At 56.6% G+C, this 15690-nt stretch overlaps 1 protein-coding gene across 5 annotated transcripts in view, besides 4 other annotated features; it reads left to right on the top strand.

The window, feature by feature from the left end:
- The window catches only part of ELL (elongation factor for RNA polymerase II), a 79408-nt gene that overhangs the window by 48815 nt on the left and 14903 nt on the right, over window positions 1-15690 (top strand). For 3 of the 5 annotated variants that reach the window (NM_006532.4, XM_017027335.2, XM_047439479.1), the window contains 5 exons: window positions 374-421; window positions 7338-7459; window positions 7681-7844; window positions 11404-11678; window positions 14927-15051. In NM_006532.4, the coding sequence (NP_006523.1) occupies window positions 374-421; window positions 7338-7459; window positions 7681-7844; window positions 11404-11678; window positions 14927-15051 (734 nt within the window). Of the gene's footprint in view, window positions 1-373; window positions 422-7337; window positions 7460-7680; window positions 7845-11403; window positions 11679-11970; window positions 12252-14926; window positions 15052-15690 lie in introns of those variants that run through there. The other 2 variants (XM_017027336.2, XM_017027337.3) reach the window with 2 other exon arrangements.
- Window positions 3535-3584: a silencer, noted in NCBI's record as "silent region_10404". NCBI's record gives its function as "represses an Ori minimal core promoter by ATAC-STARR-seq in GM12878 lymphoblastoid cells {active_cell/tissue: GM12878}" and the evidence as "EXISTENCE:reporter gene assay evidence [ECO:0000049][PMID:35858748]".
- Window positions 3625-3734: a silencer, noted in NCBI's record as "silent region_10403". NCBI's record gives its function as "represses an Ori minimal core promoter by ATAC-STARR-seq in GM12878 lymphoblastoid cells {active_cell/tissue: GM12878}" and the evidence as "EXISTENCE:reporter gene assay evidence [ECO:0000049][PMID:35858748]".
- Window positions 3898-4535: an enhancer, noted in NCBI's record as "H3K4me1 hESC enhancer chr19:18579531-18580168 (GRCh37/hg19 assembly coordinates)". NCBI's record gives its function as "activates a minimal SCP1, AML or CMV promoter by ChIP-STARR-seq in naive H9 embryonic stem cells {active_cell/tissue: H9 hESC(naive)}" and the evidence as "EXISTENCE:reporter gene assay evidence [ECO:0000049][PMID:30033119]".
- Window positions 11113-11172: an enhancer, noted in NCBI's record as "active region_14321". NCBI's record gives its function as "activates an Ori minimal core promoter by ATAC-STARR-seq in GM12878 lymphoblastoid cells {active_cell/tissue: GM12878}" and the evidence as "EXISTENCE:reporter gene assay evidence [ECO:0000049][PMID:35858748]".

Below are 15690 nucleotides of genomic sequence, written 5' to 3'. Positions count from 1 at the left end.
CTGTGAGCACCTTGAGCCTTGCCCTTCTCTCCCGGTGGATTCACAGGCTGGTGGTGGCTTTCCAAGGATGGCACACTCCCCGCCCCTGCATCCTGGGCCTTCCGCCAGCCTGTTGCCTGTGTCTGGAGGCCCCATTCTTACCTGTCATGTGTCCCCAGCCCTCTGTCCATCTGAGGAACTCCTACTGATCCTTCTAAAACCCTGCTCCGGTGACCTTGCCTATAATTTTCAGAGTGTGTGCATTTCCTTTCCCCTCTCCTGAGAACACCATCTTCACCCTGCTCCTTCTATACCTGGGGAGGGAGTCTTTGGGTTTCCCAATGTCTTTATTGATGTTCCCCTCACCTTTTTTTTTTTTTTTTTTTTTTTATAGGATTCTGTTTCACTGAGGCCATCTATCCGATTTCAAGGAAGCCAAGGGGTAAGTTTTTGTCTTAATCATTCATATTTGGAATCTTGGGACTGGTATAGTCTCAGGTCTGTCCTTGCTCGCTGGGTACAGCAGCAGCTCATGGCAGTGTTTGGGCCCTGTCTGCCACCATGCAAGGCTGGGTTCTAGGCCCCCAGGATAGCCCCTTGGCTGGGGCCACACCAGGACGTGTCGGGTGCACGTCACAGGCTGCTTGGGCAATGGGCGGCTCTCCTCTCCCAGTGGCTCCCTTCATGCAGCGATGTGCACCTAGCTTCCACTCTGATAGGGCAGGGGCCCCCAACCCCCAGCACTGGACTGGTTAGGAACTGCCCACACAGCAGGAGGTGAGCTGTGGGTGAGTGAGCACGACCACCTGAGCTCTGCCTCCTGTCAGCTGAGCCTGTTATTAGATTCTTACAGGAGCGCGAACCCTATTGTGAACTGCGCATGCCAGGGATCTAGGTTGCGTGCTCCTTATGAGAATCTAATGCCTGATCTGAGGTGGATCAGTTTCAGCCGGAAACCATCCTCCCCTATGGCTCCCTGTCCCCCTTCCACCATCCATAGAAAAATTGTCTTCTGGCCAGGTGTGGTGGTTCACACCTATAATCCCAGGACTTTGGGATGCTGAGGCAGGCAGATCACCTGAGAGATCTGGAGTTTGAGACCAGCCTGACCAACGTAGAGAAACGCGTCTCTACTAAAAATACAAAATTAGCTGGGTGTGGTGGTGCATGCCTATAATCTTAGCTACTCAGGAGGCTGAGGCAGGAGAATTGCTTGAACCTGGGAGGTGGAGGTTGCAGTGAGCCGAGATCGCACCATTGTACTACAGCCCGGGCAACAAGAGCGAAACTCTGTCTCAAAAAAAAAAAGAAAAAGAAAAATTGTCTTCCACGAAACTAGTCGCTGGTGCCAAAAAGGTAGGGGACTGCTGCATTAGGGCACACAAGGACCTTGGACATTTGTCTGGATTTTGGTTGGGAGAGAGGTTCATAGAAACTCAGCACCCTCATTTTTTTGAAATATGTTTTCTTCTAAATGACCATCTTATAGAAAAATCAGGGAATGAGAGAAAGGGTGAGTCATCTACCTTCTTTGACCCCCTGTTTTAGGACTCTTCATCTCCCCTAACCTACCCGATATGCCTTAGAATGGTTTGATTTTTCTTCTAGCCTTTATTGCAGGTTCCCCTGCATCTAGGCTGGAGTGCAGTGGTGCAATCTTGGCTCACTGCAACTTCGGCCTCCTGGATTCAAGTAATTCTCCTGCCTAAGCCTCCCAAGTAGCTGAGATTACAGACGCCTGCCACCATGCCTGGCTAATTTTTGTACTTTTAGTAGAGATAGGGTTTCACCATGTTGGCCAGGCTGGTCTCAAACTCCTGACCTCAGGTGATCCACCTGCTGCAGCCTCCCAAAGTGCTGGGATTACAGGTGAGCCACCACGCCCAGCCTTGTTTTGTTTTTTAAGAGATGAGTCTCTCTGTTGCCGAGGCTGGAGTGCAGTGGCACAACCATAGCTTACTTCAGCTTTGAACTCTTGGGCTCAAGGGATCCTCCCACCTCAGCTTCTCAAGTAGTTGGGACTACTGGTGTACACTACCATGCTAGGCAAATTTTATTTTTATTTTTGTAAAGACGGAGTCTCATTATGTTGTCCAGGCTGGTCTTGAACTTCTAGGCTCAAATGATCTTCCCACCTTGGCCTCCCAAAGTGCTAGAATTACAGGTGTGAGCCACTGCACCCAACTTTTTTTTTTTCTTTTAGAGTTACCATGTTGTACCTAAATCAATTTCTGTCCACAGCCTGAGAGCTCTGCACAGCTGGATGTGGGGATATGGACATGATGATCCATGGGCTTCCAGGTGCAGCCCAGGGTTCTGCAGAGACATGGAGCCTCTAGGAGACGTGTGTCTGTGTGTGCTGATAAAAAGATGCATTGCAAGCAGTGGGCTCAGACGACTGTGGGCTGGGGAGTCTGTAACCCTCAGGGCTGGCTGCAGACCTCCAGTAGGAGCTGATGGAGCAGTCCTCAGGCAGAGTTTCTTCCTCCTCCTGCCAAACCCCAGCCAGTTTCCCTCTTAAGGCCTTGGGCTGATTCGATGGGACCACCCAGACCATCGAGGGTCATCTCCTTTACTTGCTTTCAGTATCTGGTTTGTGGATGGTAACCATGTCCACAGAGTACCTCCAGGGCACCCCTAGACGGGATGTCATGGAATAATGAATCTCCAGGGGCTGCAGCCTAGCCAGTTGACACAACCCCACACTTCCATCAGCCCCAGTTGGGTCTTGTGGTCACCCTTTGGCCACCTCCTTTTTACCTTCCCCAGGACATTCTCTCAGGGGTCAGAGGTTGGGGGCAGGGGCGGGCTGGCCTGGGCTTGCTGCCAGAGCAGCCCCACAGTGCCCTCTGGTGTCCTACAGCAGTCACTCTGTGCCTTCTGCTGCTGCCTGACCACCCATGCCCCTCTACCCCAACCTGAGCAGTGGGGGGGCCCCTCATCCCCAACCCCCATCTCAGCGAGCCCGTCAGATGACACACTGCAGCCTGGCCATGGCCGAAGCACACAGTGGTGTCCTTGCGTGCAGCATGCCATGTGCCTTGACCTGGAGCCTAATAACATGTGTAGCAGGGGCCCAAGTCACTGAGAGAGACCTGGGGTGGCTACACAGCTAACCTCCTTCTAGAGACAGGGTTTTGCCATGTTGGCCAGGCTGGTCTCGAACTCCTGACCTCAGGTGATCCACCCACCTCAGCCTCCCAAAGTGCTGGGATTATAGGCGGGAGCCACCGCGCCTGGCCAGCTGCTTCACTTTAGTGGGCTGTTAGCTTTGGGGCTCTTGGTCCTGGGCCATGCTGCCGGCAGCCTGCCACAGAGCCTGCACTGGGCTCATCGTTGTCGGAACGCCCCCTGGATGGTGTTCCTTCATGGATCCAGTCAGCCAGCATCGCCCAAGCTCCTGTCTGGGGTCAGGTGGGGAGTGCAGCAGGCCCCAATTTGGGATGGATTTCAAAGGGAAGAGATGAACGGACTCTGGCAGGGACTTGAGCGGTGGTGGAAGCAACGCCCCCTGGTGGCCATGGTCAGGTCAGCGGGAAGGGCAGAGCGGGCCTTTGGGCCCTGCGGAAGCGCCTAGGATGAGCCCCTGTGGCCTGGGCTCTGTGTCTGTGAGCATGGACTAGTGCTTAGGTTTATGGCAACTCCTCCCCACACCCTATAACCTGGAGCCGGGACTGACCTCAGACATACCCAGACCTGCTGTGCGTGGGCCATCTGAGGGCCCCATGGCAGCCCACTGGTACGTGGGTCACTGGGCCCATGAGCAGTCCCCAAGGAGCAACCAAGACCCCATTCAGAAGGCTGAGCAGGGGCTGCGTTTCAAACCTTGTCCCAGAACCCGGGCAAGCTCTTGGCTAGTGCGAAGAAAGTGGCCGCATTCCTGGGCTGCTCCCATCCCGCTGGCTTCCCCACGGTCCCGGGCTGGTAACCATTAACCAGCAGCAAAACAGCCCGTTAATCAGAGGGCTCCATAGCGCTTCGTGTGCTAGGGGAGGCAGGGCCTGTGAGAACCTCGGTGTCTGGCTCCGGGAAACCTTTCCTAACACTCTCCCCACCTTCTCACCCCTGCATCCTGAAGGACGCCAACCGCCATGCCCTCTGTGTGTCTTCCCCTTTTCGCCAGCAGCACGACACTCTCCCGAGCATCAGCTTTGAGGCCTGTGTCACCCCCCTTCATGCAGCCCCTACTCCCCGCCACAGCTGCACACCTGGCCCTGGGCTCTGCACCTGGCCCCTGCTTCTAGGATGGAGTTTGGGGGGCAGATGTCTACACCTGTGTGGAAAAGATCCAAGCAGGGTGAAGGGCCACTATGAAGCCCCTACCCACAGAGAAGCAAGGTTGCTGGGCAGGCTCAGGCAGGGGGGCCCTGTCAGTGCTGACTGGGTGTACAGCTGCCCCAGGCCACAGGCAGTGGCCTGGTCTCACTGCCAGCTCTCTGCTGAGTGGCATCTCCCCTGAAGCCAGGGTGACAGAATGAGTCCTGCCAACCTGGGTGGAGCTGGGGTTTTCCTGGGACAGGGCTGCACGTGAGGGTGCCCAGCCCTTAGTCACTGTGGGGCAGGAGCCACTGGCAACTTGGGCCTCAGGCCAGGACCACAGGGGGCAGTGGGGGTTAAAGAGATGACAGAGGAGGGCGGGAGAGCCACCCAGGCCAGGCTCAGGTTCCCACAGCCACTCTTTTTGGTTTCCCTGGACGTGTGGTCCCCAGCTTCCCTGGCTGGCTCATTCTGGGTCACCATGTCACCTGTGCACCTGGCCACCACAGAGCCTCTCACAAACTTGAGCTTCCCTCATCCCAGCAGCGTGTTTCCAGTTTCTTGTATGAACGAGAATAAAAGTCACATCTGGGAAGGGAGGTGCAGGCAGGGCAGGGTGGCACCTGTGTGTGTTGGGTGAAAAAACACCTCAGTGGCGTCGAAGCAGGACAGATCTGGATGGCCAGGGTCACCCACATGGCTCTGGCTGAGGCTTCAGGGCGTGTGTGGTTGTTTGTGTGTGGGAGGTTGTGTTTCTGTGTGTATGGATTGTGTTTGTGTGTGTGTGTGTGTATGGATTGTTTGTGTGTGTGGGGGTTGTGTTTGTGTGGGTTGTGGTTGTGTGTGTGGTTATGTGTGAGTTGTGTTTGTGTGGCTGTGTGGGGGTTTATGTCTGGGTTGTGTTTGTGTGGTTGTGTGTAGGGGTTTGTGTGTGGAGGGGTTTGGTGTGGAGGGGTTTGTGTGTGGCTGTGTGTGTGGGGGTTGTGCATGTGTGGGTTGTGTGTGTGGGTTGTGTTTGTGTGTGGGGGAGGTTGTGTGTGGTGCTGTCGGGGTGGTTGTATGTGTGGCGCTATGTGTTGGGTATTGTGTGTGTATGGTTGTGTGTGGGGAGATTGTGTATGGAGGGGTTGTGTTTGTGTGTGGGGGGGATTGTGTGGTTGTGGGGGGTTGTGTGTAGGGAGATCGTGTGTGGAGGGGTTGTGTTTGTGTGTGTGGGGGGATTGTGTGGTTGTGGGGGGTTGTGTGTGGGGAGATTGTGTGTGGAGGGGTTGTGTTTGTGTGTGTGTGGGGATTGTGTGGTTGTGGGGGATTGTGTGTGGGGAGATTGTGTGTGGAGGGGTTGTGTTTGTGTGTGTGTGTGTGTGTGTGTGTGTGTGTGTGTGTGTGTGGTTGTGTGGTGGGGGCGGGTGGGGAGGGTTTCTCTGTCCGAGGGTGAATCATCAGAGGCTATATGTGTGTGATTTCTCCGATGCTGAGTGCAGGCCGTTTCTGCCTTCTCTGACCCTGATAGAGATGTGTGTTTGTGTTCAGGTGTGGCCTGGCATGGTGGGCCCACAATGGACTTTGGCCTTGCCCTCCACCAGCACGCTGTTTGGGCCCTGACCCCTCAGCTTGTGTTTCTGTATCAGCATGACAGGGACAAGGGCACCTGCCTTAGGGGGACATGTTCGAGGCTGAGAGGGGATGCTGGGCAGACCCCAGCAGATGGGACGGCTTTTTTCCTGGGGCAGTGTTCAGCCTGGGGAAGGGGCAGGATGGGCCTCTGGAGAAGGGTCTGCAGGCCGGGCAGACTGGCTGGTACAGGGACTGCCTGCAAGCCCAGACCAGACTCTTCCTGCCCCAAGTGGCCGAACCCAGGAACTGTTCTTGTCTTGGGAGCAGGGACTGGCACTGGGCTGGGTGCAGCCATGGCTTCCCTTGTGTGTCCAAACACTACCCCAGGGGACAAGTCCCAGTCAAGGCCACACAGCAGGGCCGGGGATTGGTGCTCCTCCACGTGTCTGGTGGCAGGAGCCCCGTCCTGTCTCACAGGTGAGGCACAGGCAGGCAAAGCCTCCCATGGGCGTATGAGGCAGCTCAGCAGGGGCGAGGGGGCAGGAGATTCAGCCACAGTCTCTCCCGCGCTCATGGTGTCACAGAGGAGGAGACGGGGCTTGGGTGCCAAGGGGGTGCTGCAGCCAGGGGACAAGACCTGAGGGCTCCCCCCATGTTGTCCCCTCCTTGTGGACTATTTGAGCGCCCTTCATGTGTCAGTCTAACTGTGAGGAGCTCATGCCAAAGCCCAGGCATTAGTTTAGGAAGGGCCAACTCTGTTGACAGAGGGTCTGGGGTCAGCCTGGAATGCAATGGCCTCTGATGTGATGCCGCCCTGCACTGAGCCTGGCCGGGACCAGCGCAGTCCGTCCATCCGCCTGCCTGCCCCTGGCTGTCCGTCCTCCCAGACAGGGCTGGAGCTTTGCCCAGCTGGGCTGCAGGGGCACAGCCAAAGTCAGGCTGGTGTGACCCATGACAGGCTTGTTGGGGGCCAGTGCTTCTGATCTGTGAGCCCCTGGGACACAAGCCTACCTGATTCACAGCTGCAGCAAATGGAGACTCACGTGGAGTCCATGTCCTTTGTGGGGGGATGCTGAGAGGGGGTCGCCAAGGAGGGGCGCCAGAGTTGCGCGTGGCTGCCCAAGCCCCTCTTGTTGCATTTTACCTCATAGGGTGTCGCAGGCCAGGTCTGTCCATTTGGTGGTGGGGAAAGTGAGTCATGGTCCAGACAAACCACTTTCCAGGGGTCACACGATTGGGGTGGGGGCCCTGCATCTGGGCAGGTGCTGAGCACTGTCCTCAGACAGCAGTGCTGTTGCTGCTGAAAACGGCCCCTGGCCCCATGCCCACCCGCATAGGTGCCTGAGTCCCCTCTCTACGCAGTGTGTGTTGCTGAGGATGGGCTGCCTGTCCCGTCACTGGCTGAAGAGCAGGGGTGTGTTTTAGGGAAAAGGGCCAGCACATTCCTGTTGTGAGGGTTGCACTGTGGGGACTCATGCAGGAAGATGCAGGCTGGGGACCTGTCCTGCCGAGGACCTCCCAGTGACACCCCCTCCCCCTCCACGCAGCACATCTCCATCCCCCAGCCTGACTGCCCCGCAGAGGCGCGGACGTTCTCCTTCTACCTCTCCAACATCGGCCGCGACAACCCCCAGGGCAGCTTCGACTGCATCCAGCAGTATGTCTCCAGGTGAGGCGCCGCCCCACCCCAGAGCACCCCGCCGGCTCTTGAGGTCACCCTGCCACCTCTGGCCCAGGGTTGAGATGTGCCCCATTGAAACCATATTGCCTGAGATGGTGTTGACAGAGTCCATTTTCCAGGCCAGGTGGTGGGCTGGGGGCTTGGGCCCTCAACGGATCCTCCCTGCATTGTCCCAGCTGCTGACCCCAGCTCCTGGCCTTGTCTTGCAGTCATGGGGAAGTTCACCTGGACTGCCTGGGCAGCATACAGGACAAGATCACGGTGTGTGCCACCGACGACTCCTACCAGAAGGCGCGGCAGAGCATGGCCCAGGCGGAGGAGGAGACGCGGAGCCGAAGTGCCATTGTCATCAAGGCTGGAGGCCGCTACCTGGGTGAGCAGTGGGTTTGGCAGGGCTGTAGGGCAGCCGGGCAGCTGCCAGTGTCGGGAGACATTTGGGGCCTGTCCAGGCTGGGCACTGGCTGTGCCCTGCACAGAAATGATGGGTCAACCGAGGAGTCGGTCCCTGAGCAGGACGTGCCTGGACCAGAGTCTGGGTTGGGAAGAGAGGTATGGCCACATGGGCCTGGGGGCTATGTGAGGGATAGGGGGTTGGGTTATGGCAGCTGCTGGCTTGTGAAGCCTGAGGTGGACAAAGGGGCCTGAGAACTCCAGGAGCTGTGAGTTGGTGGTCCCTGCTTTCAGGCTGCAGCCTTGGGGACCTTCACCTGTCAGGGAGATCAACAGGCTCCCTGAAGATGGGCATGCAGCCTAGGGCAAGGCCCATGTCTGTCTCTGGAGGCTGCCCCCACCCTCACCTGACCAGCCAGCTCCTGCCCAACGCCACCACAGCCGGCAACAGGCAGGAAATGAGCCTCACAGGCCCTGTTGCCAGCGACCCAGCACTGCAGGAAAGCTCTGGCCACTCAGCATCAACTTGGAAACGGTTTCAGCAGTTGAGAAGCCAACAGGCCTTGACAGTGGGAAGCACAGTGCTGTTTGTTTACAGAGCTGCAGCACCCCGCCTCTTAGTCCAGGCAGAGCTCCAGGAGTCATGGGAACTCATTACGGCAGGAGTAGGGTGCCGGGCTTCAGGGAGGAGGGAGATGGCTCAGAGCAGACGACAGCCTTGATGGCTTTTTGAGTTTTATCTTTAAGAAAAGGCGGGGGCATTTCAATTCCTCTCTCTCCTCCTTCCGAAGAAAGCACGTGATTTCCCTTTGCTGAGCAGAGGGGTTCCCTCTGAGTGAAACCCCAGATGTGGGTGCAGGGGTTGGTCTTCCTGGTCAACACTGAGTCCGGGTGGACATGTTGTATGGCCAGGGAGCCCGGGTTGTCCATGATGTTGAGGCCCTGGGCTGTAAGCCCCAAGCACAGGGCTGCTGTGGGGAGAACAGTTGAAGAGACAGCGTGTTTTGTTTTTTGTTTTTTCTTTTTTTAAAGACAGGACCTTTCTCTGTCACTCAGGCTGGAGTGCGGTGGCACAATCATAGCTCACTGCAGCCTCAAACTCCTAGGCTCAAGTGATCCTACCTCAGCCTCCAGAGTAGCTGGGACCACAGGTGTGTGCCACCACACATGGCTAACTTTTAGATTTTTTGTAGAGACAGAGCCTCGCTATGTTGCACAGGCTGGTGTCTGACTCCTGGGCTCAAATGATCCTTTCGCCTGGGCCTCCCACAATGCTGGGATTACAGGCATGAGTCAGCGCACCTGGCCCCATATACATGTTAATAAATCTGTGGGTCCTTCAGCCAAAAACTTGATCAGAAATGTATCTTAGCACACCACTTTGGGTACAGTGAGGGTTTTTTTTTTTTGAGATGGAGTCGCGGTCTGTCGCCCAGGCTGGAGTGCAGTGGCGCGATCTCGGCTCACTGCAACCTCCGCCTCCCGGGTTCACGCCATTCTCCTGCCTCAGCCTCCCGAGTAGCTGGGACTACAGGTGCCTGCCACCACGCCCGGCTAATTTTCTTTTTTTTTGTATTTTTAATAGAGACGGGGTTTCACCGTGTTAGCCAGGACGGTCTCGATCTCCTGACCTCGTAATCCGCCCACCTCAGCATCCCAAAGTGCTGGGATTACAGGTGTGAGCCACCGCCCCTGGCCCAGTGAGGGTTTTTGAAACAGTTTATGTTCTGGTAGGGGACGCTGTCTGTTAAGATGTGAATGTGGCCAGATGCAGTGGCTCACACCTGTAATCTCAGCACTTTGAGAGTCCAAGGCAGGGAGATCACAAGGTCAGGAGTTCGAGACCAGCCTGGCCAATATGGTGAAACCCCATCTCTACTAAAAATACAAAAATTAGCCAGTTGTGGTGGCGTGCGCCTGGAGTCCCAGCTACTCGGGAGGCTGAGGCAGGAGAATCTCTTGAACCTGGAAGGCGGAGGTTGCAGTGAGCTGAGATTGTGCCATTGCACTCCAGCCTGCGCAACAGAGTGAGACTCTGTCTCAAAAAAAAAAAAAAAAAAAAAAAAAAAGATGTGAATGTGCGTGTTCCTCTGTCTCACAGTGCCCCCCTCAGGTTGCTCCTCCTCCCTGTCAATCAGCCTGGCCCTATATGGGTGAGTCCAGCCCTGCTGTCAGGACCCCACTGAACAGACCCCAGAGGTGTGAGCACTGGCCCTGGGTATTCTGAAAGCAAGGCTTTCTGGGTTAATTTGACAGATCAGATTTTGAGAGATAAGATCAGAGTGATGTTGTTACGAAGAGCTTTTGGGGGAAGGATTTGAGGCACTGTTGAGCTTGCTCGGCCGACCCTGTTCCCAAGGATGCCGGGGCATCATTGTTCAGGACAGAGCAGGGGAGCAGCGTGCTGGACCCTGCCCACGTCTCTGCGTTGGGGATAGAGGGGAACCTGCTCTCCCCAGGGCTCTGGGCACAGCCACGCCTGCCAGAGGAGAGCTTGACCAGGCCTAAGGCTGGGGTGCCACTTGCACCTCAGGGTCTTCAGAGCAGCTGCTGAAAGTGGCTCCGACATCTTTACTGACTTTAGAAAAACAAAAATGGCAGCCACATGGGGCCAGCATAGGACTCTGAAGTGCAGGCTTGGGAGTGACTGCCTCTTGCAGTTCAGGGACCCCCAGTTTAACATCAGAAGGGTTTACAAACAGCCCCTGCCTCAGGTTGGGCAGGATGGCTCTGGTTTATAATACCAGCACTTTGGAAAGCTGAGGTGGGAGGGTCCTTTGGGCCCATGAGTTTGAGACCAGTCTGGGCAGCATAGTGAGACCCCATCTCTACAAATAATATAAATTAGCCAGGCATGGTGGTGCACACCTGTGGTCCCAGCTACTCCAGAGGCTGAGGTGGGAGGATCGCTTGAGCCCAGAAGTTTGGGGCTGCAATGAGCCATGATTGTATTACACTCCAGCCTGGGTGACAGAGCAGGATCCTGTCTCAAAAAACAAAACAATCCTTCCCCCCCCGCCCCCCGCCCAAACACACACACACACACACACACACACACAGCCCACTAGAGTGATCAGGTGATTTCATACACGCACACACACATTGCCCACCAGAGTGATCAGGTGATTTCTCACACACACATACTGCCCACCAGAGTGATCAGGTGATTACATACACACACACACACACACACACACACACACACACACACACACTGCCCACCAGAGTGAGAGTGATCAGGTGATTTTGCTGTCCAGGATTTAGGTTGCCTGTGATGAAGTAAGTAAGGCTCTAACACAGTTCTGCCGCCTGCACCTCCCACTTCTGAGGCTGGGTGCCCTGCAGGTGCCTGCCTTGGGCAGCAGGTGGCGCTCTTGGTCGCCCAGGGTCCCCAAGGAGCAAGCTGGCTTTTGCTGTGGTTGGTGTGGTGCCTCCCACCAGCACTGTCTATAGTCTCAAACCTCTGGGCACCTGGTCAGCAGCACTGGCTTAGGACACGGCAGCGCCCTCTCTGTTCCCTAAAGCTTGGATTCTTGTTGCAGGCAAGAAGGTTCAGTTTCGGAAACCAGCCCCAGGTGCAACAGACGCGGTGCCCTCCCGGAAGCGGGCAACCCCCATCAACTTGGCGAGTGCCATCAGGAAGAGTGGTGCCAGTGCCGTGAGTGGGGGCAGCGGGGTGTCCCAGAGGCCCTTCCGTGACCGAGTGCTGCACCTCCTGGCACTACGGCCCTACCGCAAGGCTGAGCTGCTGCTGCGACTGCAGAAGGACGGCCTGACGCAGGCGGACAAGGACGCGCTGGATGGCCTCCTCCAGCAGGTGGGTGCCGCCCCGATGTCTTGTCTTTACCAGTGGTCTCCGCAGATGGTCTTGTGCGGGTGGGATGGGCCAGAGCATGGAGACTGGGATTGGGACTGGCAAGGAAGAGCCCTTCCTGGGGTCTCTCACAGGTTCAGAACCTGCCTGAGAGCCAGGGCCTCCTGGATTAGAACAAGCTTAGGGGGCCATGGATGCGTTTCTGGGCATGGCCCCGACTGTCCAGGGTTGAGAGGTGGACTCAGCATGGAGCCCAGGCCCTCCTTCACTGTCTGCTGACACACGGGCCGTGGGGCCTGGCACAGTGGATTCAGGCTTCAGTTGCAGACGATTTGTGGACTCAAGGCCTGGGGAAGGAATCTACACGTGCCTGGCAGAGCCTGGCAGGCCTCAGTGTGAATCAGCTGCCTGCCGCCCTCCACCTGCGCCTCCGGGTGAGGGGCTTCACGTCTCAGACCATCAGGCTTCCATCTGTGACCTGCAGTGCCCCTCCCTGGGGTTGGAGGCTAGGCCATCTGGAATGTGGTGCTGGCGAGTGGAGCCTGCTCTTGAGAAACACCCCGGGCATTGGAGCAGGTGCGATGGCCCTGACTGCCTTCCACCCCCCTCACCCATGGAGGTTCCTGAGGCTCCACCTTGGCTTCCTGGGGTCCCTGGGAAGGGGAGTGACTCGCACTGGCTTCAGAACATTAGCCAGGCTATGCAGATGCAGCCTTGAGGTGAACTGAGGATGGGTCTCCTCGGATCGCTGCTGTGGTGGAGGAAGAGACATGGCTGAGCCTCTTGCACCTTTTAGGATGATGGAAGTGGGATGTTCGGGGTCACATCCAGCACCTCAGGAACACAGGTGATGCCTGCAGCAAAAAGCACATGCTGTGGCATGCCGGGATAGCAGCTGTATAAAGGACGTTCTTCCATGTTTACGGAGCTCCTCATAGGCGTCCCTCTCGGGTGCGCGGCTGGTGGGACCCTGTTCCACATTCCTTGGGAGGATGTCAGCCTGGCCCTCGTCCACCCCCATCCTGCTCCCAAGGCTAGGGCTGGCATGGTGCCAGCAGGAGTTGCTGAAGGGAGCTCGATGGAGTCATCAGATGTGGGACCTGCATTGGCCTGGCCAGGAGGTGTCTGTGCTGGTGCCTGGCTTCTCCAGGTGACTTTGGTTCAGTGCCTCCTGGGAGCAGGCCTGGCCAGCATCTGCAGGCAGATTGTCCCTTCCTGTGCCACTGTGACTTCCCCTGGACAGCTCGTCTGCTTCTTGCTTCTATATTCATTATGCAGCTGCTTCCCCCCAAGCAGCTGTGGGGGTCAGCAGGACACTGTTGGCTTGTAGAAGAGGAGGGGGATGTGCCTCACCCAGACTGGTCATTTCCAGCCCCTCACAGGCCCTCAGACATGCTGAGGAATGGCAGTGACAAAACTGCATGCCTCAAAGGTGCTTGGCCCTCCCTCTGTGGAAAAATCTAGAGCAGAGATGGAAGGTGTCCACCTCTAGGACTGGCTGAGCCCCAGGGAAACCCGCAAGCCTATCCTTCAAGGGGAGGGGTGTTGACGGCTGAGTAATATTTAGCAAAGCCTGTCATGAGCCATAAAAATATTCAGCCTTTGACCTACTAATCTGGCTTCTGGGAATCCCGTCGAAGGAAACTGTTGCCAACCTGAAAAAAACTGCACACAGTAATGTCTGTTTATGCTACAGAGAAACTGGCAGCAGTTTGGGGGTGGGATATTACTCAACTGTTAAAAATGCTCCCCATGGGCCGGGCGCGGTGGCTCACGCCTGTAATCCCAGCACTTTGGGAGGCCGAGGCAAGTGGATTACGAGGTCAGGAGATCGAGACCATCCTGGCTAACATGGTGAAACCCCATCTCTACTAAAAATACACACACAAAAAAATTAGCCGGGCGTGGTGGCGGGTGCCTGTAGTCCCAGCTACTCCAGAGGCTGAGGCTGGAGAATGGCGTGAACCCGGGAGGCGGAGCTTGCAGTGAGCCAAGATAGCGCCATTGCACTCTAGCCTGGGCAACTGAGCGAGACTCCATCTCAAAAAAAAAAAAAAAATGCTCCCCATGGGATACGCTGTGACGCAGAGCCATGTCAGATGCAGCAGAAAACAGTGACTGCTATGCCTGCAGCAAGATGGAGACCAGAGTGCCCTGTAGGCCAGCACGCAGCACCCACTCAGGGCAGTGACCTGGAGCTTCCTCAGATCCCTCTAAGGCAGACGTTCTGAATCCATCTTTGTTAGCAGTCTGGGAGACGAACTTAGCTTTGGTCAACCGGCAACAGCAAGGCAGGCTGGTTGTAGGGAAGGTGGGCTCAGACGTGGCCCCAGAGGTACCCCTCACCCAGCATCCCCAGCCGTGGCTGACTCTTCCCTGGGAGTTGTGATCAGAAATGGGGTGGAGCCCAGCGCGGTGGCTCACGCCTGTTTCCAGCACTTTGGGAGGCTGAGGTGGGAGGATCCTTGAGGCCAGGAGCTCGAGACCAGCCTATGCAAAATACTGAGATCCTATCTATACAAAAAATTAGCTGGGTATGATAGTGCATGCTTATAGCCCACCTACTTGGGAGACTGAGGCAAGAGGATCGCTTGAGCCCAGGAGTTTGCAGCTACAGTGAACCTTGATCACACCACTGCACTCCAGCCTGGAAGAAATAGGAGCCAGGTGTGGTGGCTGGAATCCCAGCACATTGGGAGGCTGAGATCAGAGGATCGCTTGAGCCCAGGGGTTCAAGACAAGCCTGGACAACATAGCGAGATCCCATCTCTTAAAAAAAATTAGCTGGAGTATAGTGGTGCACACCTGTGGCCCCACCTACCTGGGAGGCTGACGTGGGAGGGTCGCTTGAGCACAGGAGGTCTAGGCTATAGTGAGCTAAGATCTTGTATCAAAAAAGGAAAAAAAGCAGGCTAGAGGGGCCAGGGGGCAGGTGATGGGGTCTCAGTACTGCAGGTGGTAGCCCTCCCCTTTTTGGAGCCAGCCTGGCCCCAGCACCTCTAAGACAGTTGAGTCTGGACCTGCCTTCATGACCCTCATTATCCCTTCTGCACCCTGAGGATTGTGTGCGGGGGAACTGGGGGTGGGAGACATCACGGATCGGTAGTGGGCCATCCTCTTTCCTCTCCTCTGTCTCTGTCTGTCTCCCACTGTCTCTGCACACCCTCCCAAACCCACTATCAGATCTTTTTTCTCTAGTCCCCCGTCTCTCTCAGGATTCCCACAAAGTGATGGCTGGCTCTGTCTTGCAGGTGGCCAACATGAGTGCTAAGGACGGCACGTGTACACTGCAGGACTGCATGTACAAGGATGTGCAGAAGGACTGGCCTGGCTACTCGGAGGGGGACCAGCAGCTGCTGAAGCGGGTGCTCGTCCGGTAATGCCGCCTCCCATCCCCCAGCATGTCCCCACCCGCATGAAGGCAGCCAGAGCTTACCCAGAGGATGCTGGGGTGGTCTTGTGTGGTCCTGAAGGCCACAGGGCTTGGGAGCAGGATGGAAGGGTCCAAGTAGGCCTCTCTGGCCATCCTCCCTACTGCCCACGTGGTGCCCCAGGGTGTCCCGTGGTGGGGGAAGGCCACGCTCACAGAGTGGGACGGAGGTGTGAGTCACTGGCCCCGACCTTGGAATCTTCAGACAAAAGGCCTCAGTCTGCTGAGACCCTCCTCAGCTGTCCCCAACTTCCCTTCATGCTTCCCTCCACAACCTGGGCATCCCCACAGGGCCTGGGAAGTTCACTGACTTTTTGAAAAGAGCCTCTCAAGAACCTGAAGTAGAGAGAAATAAGGCCAAACGACACTCCCGGCAGGGCAGGCGTCATTAAGCAGCGTTAATTAAATGCATCCCCTCAGGCTAATTGGGACCCAGGGTCAGAAGTGGCAGCAGCTCAGGGGAGCAGTGGTTAAGGAGGCAGGCGGCTAATGACTTCCTTCTCCACTGCTGCCAGCTAGGGGAGCTCGGGCTGTGAAGCAGGTCAATCTGCTAATTAGTCCGTAAGTGATTTCTCAGGGACTCGG

The sequence above is a fragment of the Homo sapiens genome, chromosome 19 (genome assembly GCF_000001405.40).
Source record: "Homo sapiens chromosome 19, GRCh38.p14 Primary Assembly".
Lineage (NCBI taxonomy): Eukaryota > Metazoa > Chordata > Mammalia > Primates > Hominidae > Homo > Homo sapiens.
Note: the sequence above shows the minus strand (reverse complement) of the source record. Positions and strands in the feature narration are given on the sequence as shown.